We start from the raw sequence: 13,068 nt of genomic DNA, 5'->3' as shown, positions 1-13,068 counted from the left end.
CTTTCTCTTGCCTGATTGCCCTGGCCAGAACTTCCAATACCATGTTGAATAGGAGTGGTGAGAGAGGAGATCCTTGTCTTGTGCCAGTTTTCAAAGAGAATGCTTCCAGCTTTTGCCCATTCGGTATGATATTGGCTGTGGGTTTGTCATAAATAGCTCTTAATATTTTGAGATACGTTCCATCGATACCTAGTTTATTGAGAGTTTTTAGCATGAAGGGGTGTTGAATTTTATTGAAGGCCTTTTCTGCATCTATTGAGATTATCATGTGGTTTGTGTCCTTGGTTCTGTTTATGTGATGGATTACATTGATTTATTTGCATATGTTGAACCAGCCTTGCATCCCAGGTATGAAGCCAACTTGCTTGTGGTGGATAAGCTTTTTGATGTGCTGCTGGATTCGTTCGGTTTGCCAGTATTTTATTAAGGATTTTCGCATCGATGTTCATCGGGGATATTAGCCTGAAATTTTCTTTTTTTGTTGTGTCTCTGCCAGGTTTTGATATCAGGATGATGCTGGCCTCATAAAATGAGTTAGGGAGGAGTCCCTCTTTTTCTATTGTTTGGAATAGTTTCAGAAGGAATGGTACACCAGCTCCTCTTTGTATCTCTGGTAGAATTCAGCTGTGAATCCGTCTAGTCCTGTACTTTTTTTGGTTGGTAGGCTATTAATTACTGCCTCAATTTCAGGACTTCTTATTGGTTTATTGAGGGATTTGACTTCTTCCTGGCTTAGACTTGGGAGGGTGTATGTGTCCAGGAATTTATCCATTTCTTCTAGATTTTCTAGTTTATTTGTGTAGAGGCATTTATAGTATTCTCTGATGGTAGTTTGTATTTCTGTGGGATCAGTGGTGATATCCCCTGTATCTTTTTTTATTGCATCTATTTGATTCTTCTCTCTTTTCTTCTTTATTAGTCGGCTAGCGGTCTATTTTGTTGGTATTTTCAAAAAACAGCTCCTGGATTCACTGATTTTTTGAAGGGTTTCTTGTGTCTCTATCTCCTTCAGTTCTGCTCTGATCTTAGTTATTTCATGTCTTCTGCTAGTGTTTGAATTTGCTGTTGCTTCTCTAGTTCTTTTAATTTTGATGTTAGGGTGTCAATTTTAGATCCTCACTGCTTTCTCTTGTGGGCATTTAGTGTTATAAATTTCCCTCTACACACTGCTTTAAATGTGTCCCAGAGATTCTGGTACATTGTGTCTTCGTTCTCACTGGTTTCAAAGAACATCTTTATTTCTGCCTTCATTTCGTTATCTACCCAGTAGTCATTCAAGAGCAGGTTGTTCAGTTTTCAAGTAGTTGTGCGGTTTTGAGTGAGTTTCTTATTCCTGAGTTCTAATTTGATTGCACTGTGGTCTGAGAGATTGTTTGTTATGATTTCTGTTCTTTTGCATTTGCTGAGGAGTGTTTTACTTCCAATTACGTGGTCAATTTTAGAATAAGTGTGATGAGGTGCTGAGAAGAATACATATTCTGTTGATTTGGGGTGGAGAGTTCTGTAGATGTCTATTAGGTCCGCTTGGTCCAGAGCTGAGTTCAAGTCCTGAATATCCTTGTTAATTTTCTGTCTCGTTGATCTGTCTAGTATTAACAGTGCGGTGTTACACTTTATTTCTATCAGTATATCCAATATTATATATACGATTAATTTGTTTCTTTTGTCAGGTAGGTTACTTCATTATCTTCTCCAATTACAAGCAGGTACTATATACCAGGAATTGTGTAAAGCAAAAGATACAGATACCAAAAAAACCAGATGTTCCCCATGCTGAATGAGCTCTACCACACCAATTTAAATTTACTTCATTTAAAATCTTACTAACTTCCTACTAAATAAGTGAAGAAAGTGTAATGGTTGAAAACCTGGGTTTTTTCTTGCCAAAAAGTTTAAGAAAACAAACAAAAATCCCTGGGTTTGAAATTTGTCATTTACTGTTGCTAGAAAATTTGCATACCGCAGTATACCACAATATGCAAATTTAGTGAGAAACAACTGCTGGTGCATAGTAAGTGCTTAATAAATGGTATCTAAGATCATATACATTTAGCCGCTTTCTCCTATAAGGTCTGTGTCTCTGTTAATGCCATTAGCTGGTAAGAAAAATTTGCTGAAGAAAGGTCCACAGATTTACTCATACAATTAATCAAATATTCACCCACCACGTTCCCCAAGAAAGGGTCTCACTCTGTCTCCCAAACTGGAGTATAATGGCACAATCATGGCTCATTGCAGCCTCCAATCCTGGGCTCAAGCATTCCTCCTGCTTTGGCCTCCCAAAGTGCTGGAATTATAGTCATAAGCCACCATGTCTGACTCAAGATTTCTTTTTTAATAAAATAACATCTCTGCCCCATATGACGCTAGATAAAAATAACTGTGTTTATTTACCATGTGCCATGAAGCTCTAGGGGAATAAAAGCTTTATCTCACTTGTGTTCCAATTCAATACTGAAACAACAAATATTTACGGACTACAAGCTGACCTTCAGATATATTCCTTAAAAAATCCCTAAATTATGGTGCTTATATTATAGAGCAATATTGAGAAAAATGTATATGCTGCTAAAAAAAAAAACAGGAGAAATAGTAAAGGAAACTGAAATTAAGAATCATAATTAAATTATACAGAATAATTAGAAGTGTGATGAAAAAAATAAAAAGCAGAGCAGGAACTTCCCCCTCTACCCAAACTGAAGTTAAAGGAGCTAGGATTTACCCTCCCACCCAATAAGACTAAAACACAGAAAAATAGAAGAAACAGGCCAGGCATGGTGGCTCACACCTGTAATCCTAACACTTTAGGAGGCTGAGGCAGGAAGATCACTTGATGCCAGGAGCTCAAGACCAACCTGGGCAACATAGCGAGACTCCATCCTTGTATTTTAAAAAAGAAAAAAAAAAAGTTTTCAAACACTGAACTTGCAGTCAGGAAGGACGGTGATCCTATGAGAAAGTAAACACAGGTGATGAGCACTGTGACTTGACCCTAGTTTAGCGCTCCACAGAAACAGAATCCAGGCACAACTTGGCAAACACTGAGTTGAGATTGAGCATAGAGCTCAGTCAAGGCAATCAAGGCATTTAGAGTTCACAGGAAAAAGTACAGAAAAAAGCAGCACAAAGAGAGGTGCCTGGAGATCTGCAGAGTGTGCCCCTCAGGTCTTCAGCAGAGTACTGAAAAGTAAATGCAAGTGAGTGAAATACCAAAGACCAGAGGAAGATATACTCCAGATGGATTACAGCACGGGTGTCCAGCCTTTTGGCTTCCCTGGGCCACGCTGAAAGAAGAAGAATTGTCTTGGGCCACCCATAAAATACACTAATACTAACAACAGCTGATGAGCTTAAAAAAAAAAAGGTCTATGCATAATTTTCATGATATCTGCCACCAAAAAAGTCCTCACATTCAAAGGGCTGGACACCAGTAGATTAGAGAATAGTGCCAGCACTCACAGAGGGCCAGAAACAGTACCTGTTTCCACTAGTCCAACTGAGAAAACTATTAATTCACAGAGTATTAGGTAGGATATCCAACAATGTCATACCACAGTAGTGGAAAGTAATTAGTCTCAGACTGAAAAAAGCAAAAGATCATAAAAGCAAGAACTAGAGGATCAACTGTTTCCACATAAGTGCATCCCAGGAGAAAAGCTGAAGAATATTTGTAGAACTGAAAAACATCGAAATTCACAATGGCTACCATCTAATCAAAAATTACCATTCAAAATTAAAAATATAAAATTAAAAATAAAAATAAAATATATATAAAATAAAAATAAAAATTACCAAGCTACAAAGAAGCGGGAAAACACCCCATAATCATTATGGGGTGAATAATCAAAACCAATCCAGAACTAACACAGACGTTAGACACAGCTGACAAGAACATTAAAACAGTTATTATAACTGTATTCTATATGTTCAAAAAGTAGAGACATGCAAGATATAAAAAGGCCCAAATTAAACATCTGGAGATGAAAAATATAATGTCTGAGATTAAAAATATATTTAATGGGATTAAGAGCAGAAAAGACATAGCAAAATAAAACAGTAGTGAACTTCAAGACATAGCAACAGGAACTAAAAGAAAAAAATGAGAAGAGTAGCAGTGCGCTGTGGAACTTCAAAGAGCCTAATAAGTGAGTAAATAGAGTCCCTAAAGGTCAGCGGGGAGGGGGGTTTATTGGATAGTTGAAGAAATAATGGACAAAGTTTTTCAAAATTTGATGAAAACTATAAAGCCACAAATCAAAAAAGCTTAACGAATCCTCAACAAAAGAAACACAGAGAAAAACTACACCAAGGTCCATGACAATCAAATTGCTCAAACCAGTGATAACAAGAAAATCTTAAAAGTAGCCAGAGGGGGCTGGGCACAGTGGCTCACGCCTATAATCCCAGCACTTTGGGAGGCCGAGGTGGGCGGATCACCTGAGATCGGGAGTTCGAGACCAGCCTGACCAACATGGAGAAACCCCGTCTCTACTAAAAATACAAAATTAGCCGGGCATGGTGGCTCAAGCTTGTAATCCCAGCTACTTGGGAGGCTGAGGTAGGAGAATCACTTGAACCCGGGAGGCAGAGGTTGTGGTGAACCACTGCACTCCAGCCTGCTGAGCGACAGAGTAAGACTCTGTCTCCAAAAAAAAAAAAAAAAAAAAAATTACTACTGATTTTCTTAGACATGATAATGGTATTATAGTTATAAAGAAGAACACTATTCTTCTGTCTTTAGGAGATGGTGCTGATGTATTTAAGTTAAGTGTCGTAAAGTCTGCAACCTAGGCTGGCTGTGGTGGCTCATGCCTATAATCCCAGCATTTTGGGAGGCTGAGGCAGTGGAACATCAGAGGTCAGGAGTTTTAGACCAGCCTGACCAACATGGTAAAACCCCATCTCTACTAAAAATATAGTATTAGCTGGGCGTGGTGGGGCATGCCTGTAATCCCAGCTACTCTGGAGGCTGAGGCAGGAGAATCGCTTGAACCTGGGAGACGGAGGTTGTGGTGAGCCGATATCAGGCCACTGCACTCCAGCCTGGGTAACAAGAGTGAAACTCTCTGTCTCAAAGAAAAAAAAAAAAAGTAGCCAGAGGGGGAAAAAGCATATTACATACACAGAAACAAAGACAAAGATAATATCAGATTTCTCATGAAAAGCAATGAAGTAGGTAACAGTGGAGCAACATCTTTGTACTGCTGAAAGAATATCAATCTACAATTATATACTCACTTCAAATATCTTTTTTAAAAACAAAGGTGAAATAAAGACTTCTTCAGACAAAATTAGAATTTGCCAACAGCAGACCCACACTAAAGTCATGTTAAAAGAAGTCCTTCAAGCAGAAGGCAAATAACATCAGACAAAATTAAGGGTATAGGAAAGGTTAACTAGATGGGTAAATACACAAGATGCTTTCATATTATTTAAATTTTTTAAATGATACTGCAAAGTATTACAATATCACTCAAAGGTAGCTGACACAAGTTAAAGATGTATACTTCAAATCCTAAAACAAAACAAAAACTTAAAACTACTAAAGAAACTAAAGAGATAAAGCATATCATTTAAAAAAAAATCCCAAAAAGGCAGTAAAAGAGGGAAAGAAGAACAAAAACAGATGGGAAATACAGAAAATGAATAGCAAGATGACAGATTTAAACTAAACCACAATAAATCACACTGAAGGTAAATGATCTAAACACCTCAATGAAAAGGTAGTGATTGTCAACTTAGATAAAAAGAAAAGAACCAATTATATGCTGCCTATAAGAAAAACATTCTAAATATAAAGATACAAACTAATTAAGAGTAAAATAATGGAAAAAGCAAAAAGATATACCATGCTAAGAAAACTCCAATAGCTATTTTAGTATCAGAAAAAGCAGATTTCAGAGCAAAGCATGTTATCACACATAAAGGAGGTCATTTCATAACGACAAAAGGGTCAGTTAATCGAGAAGCCATAACAATCCTGAACATTTATCCTCCTAATAACCGAGCTTTAAAATACACCAAGCAAAAATAGAACTGCAGAAGAAATATACAAATCTACAATTACTGTTGGAGGTTTTAATACCCCCCTTCAATAACTGACAGAACAAGTAGACAGAAAATAAAAAATATAAGAGACCTGAATTACATTATAAGTCAATCTGACCTAACAGACATTTAAAGACTACTTCACCAAACAGCAGCAGGAAAACACATTCTTTGCAAGTGCACATGGAACATTTTAAAAATAGGCTGTACTGTGGGCCATAAAACAAGTAGTAATAAATTTGAAAGGATTCAAGTCATATAAAGTATGTTTTCTGAACACAACAAAATTAATATAGAAATCAATGACAGAAAGATATCTGGAAAAATCCCAAAATAATTGGGAACTAAATAACATATATACATGGTGAGTAAACCATAGATCAAAGAAAAAATCAAAGAAGTAGAAAATATTTTCAAATTAATGAAAATAAACATATCAAAATTGGTGGCATGTCACTAAAGCAACAATTGGGAAAAAATCAGCACTGATTTTCTACTTTAGAAAATAAGACTGAACTCAAATAAATTACTTCAACTTAACCTCAACTATAAGACACAAAATAACATTTTTTTCACAAATCCAACATCCATTCCTAATTCAAACTCTATAAATTAACACAAGAAAGGGACTTCTTCAACTTGATAAAGGGCATCTACAAAAAACACCTATAGTTAACAAATACTTAATAGTTAAAGGACTGAACACATCTCTCCTAAATCAGAAACAAGTCTCGCTTCTTTTCAACATTATCTGGCCAGTACAATCAGGTAAGAAAAAGAAAAAAAGGCAAACAGATTGGAAAGAAAGAAAGAAAACTGTCTTTATTCACACACAACATAGTCATCTATGTAAAAAATCCAATGAGATCTACAAAAAAAAAGTTAAAATTTAGTGAATTTAGTAAAGTTGCAGGATATAAGATCAGTATAAAAAACTGTATTTTTATACACTATTAAAGAACAACCAGAAACTGACAATTTTTAAAAATACCAATTACAACAGCACCAAAAAATATGTACTACTTAGGGACAAATCCTGTTTTTAAAAATATACGAGGCCAGGTATGGTGGCTCATACCGATAATCCCAACACTTTGGGAGGCCAGGGTGGTAGGTTGAAGCGAGAAGTTTGAGACCAGTCTCAGCAATATGGCAAGACCCTGTCTCCAGAAAAATTAAAAAATTAGCCAAGCATGGTGGCACATGCCTGTAGTCCTAGCTACCGGGGAGGCTGTAGCAGGAGGATCATTTAAGCCCAGGAGTTTAAGGTTACAGTGAGCTATGATGGTGCCACTAGACTCCAGCCTGGGCAACAGAATGAGATCTTGTCTCTAAAATATATATATATGAAAGACATGTACATAGAAAACCGTAAGACACTGCTGAGAGAAATTACAGACCTACAAAAAACTAAAGATATACCATGTTCATGGGTCAGGTCAGAAGAATCAAAACTGTTAAGCTGTCAGTCTCCTCAAACTGATATATAGAGTCAATGCAATCCCAATCAAAATCCCAATGGGACTTTTTCTTTTTTTAACAGAAACTGACATTTCCATATGAACATGAAGTTCATATAGAAATACAAAGAACCTAGAATAGCCAAAACAACTTTGAAAAAGACTCGTGATAAAGCTATAGTAATCCAAACAGTATAGTATTAGCACAGAGACATATATAGAGTCCAGAACTAGAAGCAGACATATATAGACAACAGATTTTTTTAAATGATGGTGCAAAGTCAACTCAGTGAAGAAAGGATAATCTTTTCCAATAAATGGTGCTGAACAATTGGATATCCATGTGCAAAAATCATTAACTTCAATCCAATTTTATACCATATACAAATAATAACTCAGAAATCTTCAAAACTGATTAGAGACCTAAATCTAAGACTAAAAATTATAAAACTCAAATGGGAGAAAATCTCTATAACCTTGCATTATGACACAACAGCAGAAGCATGATAGAAAGACAAATTAATACACTGGGCTTCATAAAAATTAAACACAGCTGGTCTTCAAAAGATAGTGTAAGAAAATGAAAAGAGAAACCACAGACTGAAAGAAAATATTTGCAAAGCATATATCTGAAAAAAGACTTATTCCCAGAATAAATAAAGAATTCCAAAACTCAATAATAAGAAAACAACCCAATCTTAAAATTGGGCAAATAGGCTGGGCGTGGTGGCTGACACCTGTAATCCTAGCACTTTGGGAGGCCGAGGTAGATGGATCACAAGGTCAGGAGATCAAGACCATCCTGGCTAACGCGGTGAAAACCCGTCTCTACTAAAAATACAAAAAATTAGCCAGGCATGGTGGTGGGCGCCTGTAGTCCCAGCTACTGGGGAGGCTGAGGCAGGAGAATGGCATGAACCCGGGAGGCGGAGCTTGCAGTGAGCCGAGATCACACCACTGCACTCCAGCCTGGACAACAGAGCGACACTCCATCTCAAAAAAAAAAAATTGGGCAAATAATTTAAGGAGAACTTCACCAATAAAGAATATGGATGGCAAATAAGCACATGAAAAGATGTTCAACATCACTAGTCATTAGAGAAATATAAATTAAAACTACAATGAGGCCAGACACAGGGGCCCGAGCCTATAATCCCAACACTTTGGAAGGCCAAGGTGGGCAGAACACTTGAGCCCAGGAGTTCAGGAACAGCCTGGGCAACATGGCAAAAAATTCCATCTCTACAGAAAAATATAAAGATTATCCAGGCATGGTGGCACTTGCCTGTGGTCTCAGTTACTCAGGAAGCTGAAGTGGGAGGATTGCCTAAGCCCAGGGAGGTCAAGGCTGCAGTGAGCCATGATCGTGCCACTGCACTCCAGCTCAGGCAGCAGCATGAGACACTGTCTCAAAAAACAAAACAAAACAAACCTACAATAAGATACTACTATGTACCTACTAAAGTTTAGACTAAAATTAAAAAGACTAGCAATACAAAGTATTGGCAAGGATATGGAGAAACTGGAACTCTTATACAGTGCTGGTGGGAATATAAAATGATATAATCACTCTGGGAAAAAACTTCATAGTTTCTCAAAAAGGTAAATATATACCTACCATTTTGATCTATTCATTCCATTTCCAGTTACTTACCGAAAGGAAACAAATGTATATGTCTATACAAAAACTTTCACATGAACGTTCATAGCAGCTTTGTTTGTAATAGCCCAAAACTAGAAATAATCCAAGTGTTCATCAACAGGTGAATGTATAAACAAAACAGTGGCATATCTATACAATGGAATACTGCTGAGCAACAAAAAGAAATGAACTACTGATAAATGCAACAATATGGCTGAATTTCAAAATAATTATGCCTAGTGAAAGAAGCCAGACCCTCCTCCCATACATACTGTAGGATTCCACTTTATTAAAATTGTAGGGAATTTAAGCAAATCTATGTGACAGAAAGCAAATCAGTGATTCCTGGGGGGTTGCTTAAGGGTTGTGGGTGGGAGTGGGAAAGGATTATAAAGGAGAAAGAGGAAAACTTTTGGGGTTGGTGGATATGTTCATTATCTTGATTGTGATGATGGTTTCATGGTTATATTCATATGTCGAAACTTATCAAATTGTACACATTAAATTGTACATATTAGATCATAATTATATCTCAAGCTATTATAAAGCAATATAAAACAAAAATCTATGACTTCAAAGATTGTGGTCCAAGCTGCCTAAGGAATTGAATTTCCATCTCCTGAAGAGAAGAAGGCGGCTACAGAACAGACACATTTTGGAGACAAGATTGCAAATTTTTCCTCTAAAAATTCAGTTTTTAAAATGCGGAGTTTGAAATGTCTGTAAATACGCAAGTGGAGATATCAATTAGGCAAGTGGCTATATCAGTTCAGCAAAGAAGTCTAGGATGATAATATAAATTTTGGAGTCTACAGCACATAAAAAGAATATTTAAAGTCTGTTAGCCTGAATGAAGCAAATAGTGCTCAATAAAAATTAGTGGAATGAATCAAAGTTCTAAGTAGTTCACATTATTAACTTATTTCATCTTGATGAAAAACCCCACGAAGTAGGAATTATGATACCCACTTTATAGGTAAAGAAACTGAGGCTTAAAGGTGAGTAACTTGCCCAAGGTCACACAGCTAGGAGCTATATTGAGGTTTGCAGTGAGAGCTAATAGCTATTAGAAACAAAGAAAGATAATGTGAGGTTATTAGTGATGATGTGCCTAAGCAGAAAAAAAAAAATTCGAGTCAGATAACCTCAGACTATTAACCAATAAAAGTAGCCAAAGATTTAATAAACGTAGGAAAAATTCTCCAAATCCATAATTGACATGTTAGCAGCTTCCATTAAATTTTATCATGTTAACATCAATGTGATTTACAAGTTAAAGCGATTAAAATCTGTGCTACCCAACTACTGTATTTGTGTCATTTTAAGCTTGCAGAAAGAAAAGCCAGGATGTTTTAAACTGGTTACCTCAACTGAAGTAGAATCTGAAGGACACAAAAGTTTAATGAGGAAGAACTTTTACTGGGATCAAAATAGCTGTAGGAACTACATTATAGCCTACTGGAGGCAAAAAAGAAAGTTCTATATCGGCATTTAGGGAAATGAACTAGTAGGTAAAATATCAGAAGTTCCTAGTCTGGGAAAATGTCATTTAAATTTCAAGGAAATATGTTCCTTGAATTTTAATTCTAACCTTTAAAAAAAAAAAAGAAAACTTGGAAAGGTTAAAATACTACATCAAATGCTATAATAAAGATACAAAATTGGTGACATAAAAGGCCATTCTTTGTTATAAAAAAAAGTGCTGTGCTGATAATGCCTCATTTAAGCATAATGGAATACTGATACAGGACTTTTTAGAGGTTTTTTCATTAAATACTATTATTCTGCCCACTAAAGTTCATTATAAACTATAATAATTGATAAATCTATTTATCTGATATAAAACCTTAATTTATTGAGGATCTTTAACACTGTCTCAACAAATAAGTTCAATTTTATTCCAGTTATCTGCATCTGACTGCATTAAATAAAAAATAAATAGTTTAATCATTTTTTTTCAAAGCCTATCATCCAGAAATGGTCAGGAGCAGATCAATGTCAATCAACTTTTCAAGAAAGAAAAGAAAACAACAACAAAATAAGATAACAATCACATCACATCTCTTCCTATTAAAGGTTTGGAGGAGAGGGGTCTCTATAACCCAAGTTGAACAAAATGGTCAGTACATCACTAACAAATTGGACTTTCTAATTTTTGTTTACAAAAGCTGAGTTATCGTTATCTTGATTATGTTTGAGGAAGTTGAAGGAACCAATTTATTTTCACTATTACCTGCTTAGAATCTATGAAAGAAACCTAAAGTTTTCCAAAAATTCATTAGGATCCCAAAAAGGTACTATAAGAACTCCAAGAATTTCATGAATTTATGAAATGAGTAGTTGTCAATGAAATTGCACACTGAAAAGTTCAATGAATACCAATATTCACCCAGCTGATGAAATATATCACCAAGATCCTAGAATTCCATGTTCAAACTGTTCCATTTTGTTCCATTTCTACTACTTCATGTCACTCTCAGCTCTTGCCTAAATTATTGTTGCAGTCTCTTAGTCCACCCTTACATAGACCACCCATTTCACCACACAGCAGCCAGAACAATACCAGTAAAAAAGTAAAGTTCAAACTTCTAAAAGGGGCTTTATAAGGCCCTTTATGATCTGAACTCTTCATGTTTTCCTGGCTTGATCCTTTACCACTACTGTACCCACACCCACCCAATATACAAATACCAAGAAGACATGTTCTCCCATACACACACTAGCCTTCAGCCATATTCAGCTATCTGCAGACCCTCAAAAGCAACAGTCGGCCAGGCGTGGTGGCTCACGCCTGTAATCCCAACACTTCAGGAGGCCGAGGCGGGCGGATCACGAGGTCAGGAGATCCGAGACCACGGTGAAACGCCGTCCTACTAAAAATACAAAAAATTAGCCAGGCGCGGTAGTGGGTGCCTGTAGTCCCAGCTACTGGGGAGGCTGAGGCAGGAGAATGGCATGAACCCAGGAGGCGGAGCTTGCAGTGAACCGAGATCACGTCACTGCACTCCAGCCTGGGCGACAGAGTGAGACTCCGTCTCAAAAAAAATAAAAAAAAAAAAAGTAACAGTCACCCTGAGAAGCCCTGCATGTATGCTCCTTCCTCTGGATTGTTCTTTCCTTTTTTGCTAACTCAGACTCATCCTGAAGTCTCATTTTAAATGCTGTGTCCTTTGCCACTGACTCAGTACTAACAACAACAAAAAAAATGCCAGGTTCTATGTGATACCTTCTTTGCCCAACTCGTTCCCACCTAGCCCCATTTGATGATCCATAATACCCTGCATTTAGCATCCACATAGCAATTTTCACTCCAAATAATTAATTATTTATCGAACTTTCTGTCCTAATCTAAGCTACCTGAAGGTAGCAGACAATGCCTTATTCACTATCATGTCCTCAGAATCTAGCTCAATGCTTGACCCATAATAGAAACTAAACAAATTCTTTGAGTGAATGAATGTATCATAAAAGGTATTTCATTCATAGAGGGGATACAGTTTTGAAAACTTTCATTAAAGAAATAACATCAGAATTGATATTAGAATAAGTTAATTTAAAAAAATAAGAAAAATAAATAACATACCTGTCTTTCCAACTCTTGTCCTGTTATGCCAGCCTCTACATGAGCTGTCAAATTGTTCTCATCAACCCAGAGAATTCGATTCTGTTGCAAAGGAAGAAAGAAATCTGATCTCCAGGAACTACTAATATTTTCTCAGGAAATATAACTTCCTAATTCAAAGCAACAAGTGGTAAGACAGTGATTAAGCAAGAAGGGTTCCCCTCAACCACCCACACTGGAAACCAAGTCCACTTATCCCAGACTATACAACATGACAACATAGTAACAAAGGCAGCATATTATGCAGGGGTTGGCTTAAAACATAGACTCTGTCTTTATTCAGAGGTTAATTTAAA

At 36.5% G+C, this 13,068-nt stretch overlaps 1 protein-coding gene across 4 annotated transcripts in view; it reads right to left on the bottom strand.

Annotated features, from left to right (window-relative positions):
* The window catches only part of AGPS (alkylglycerone phosphate synthase), a 151,062-nt gene that overhangs the window by 85,475 nt on the left and 52,519 nt on the right, over positions 1-13,068 (bottom strand). For all 4 annotated transcript variants that reach the window (NM_003659.4, XM_047446105.1, XM_011512041.3 and 1 more), the window contains exon 8: positions 12,734-12,814. In NM_003659.4, coding sequence (NP_003650.1) covers positions 12,734-12,814 — 81 coding nt within the window. The remainder of the gene's footprint in view (positions 1-12,733; positions 12,815-13,068) is intronic.

The sequence above is a fragment of the Homo sapiens genome, chromosome 2, assembly GCF_000001405.40.
Source record: "Homo sapiens chromosome 2, GRCh38.p14 Primary Assembly".
Taxonomy (NCBI): domain Eukaryota; kingdom Metazoa; phylum Chordata; class Mammalia; order Primates; family Hominidae; genus Homo; species Homo sapiens.
Note: the sequence above shows the minus strand (reverse complement) of the source record. Positions and strands in the feature narration are given on the sequence as shown.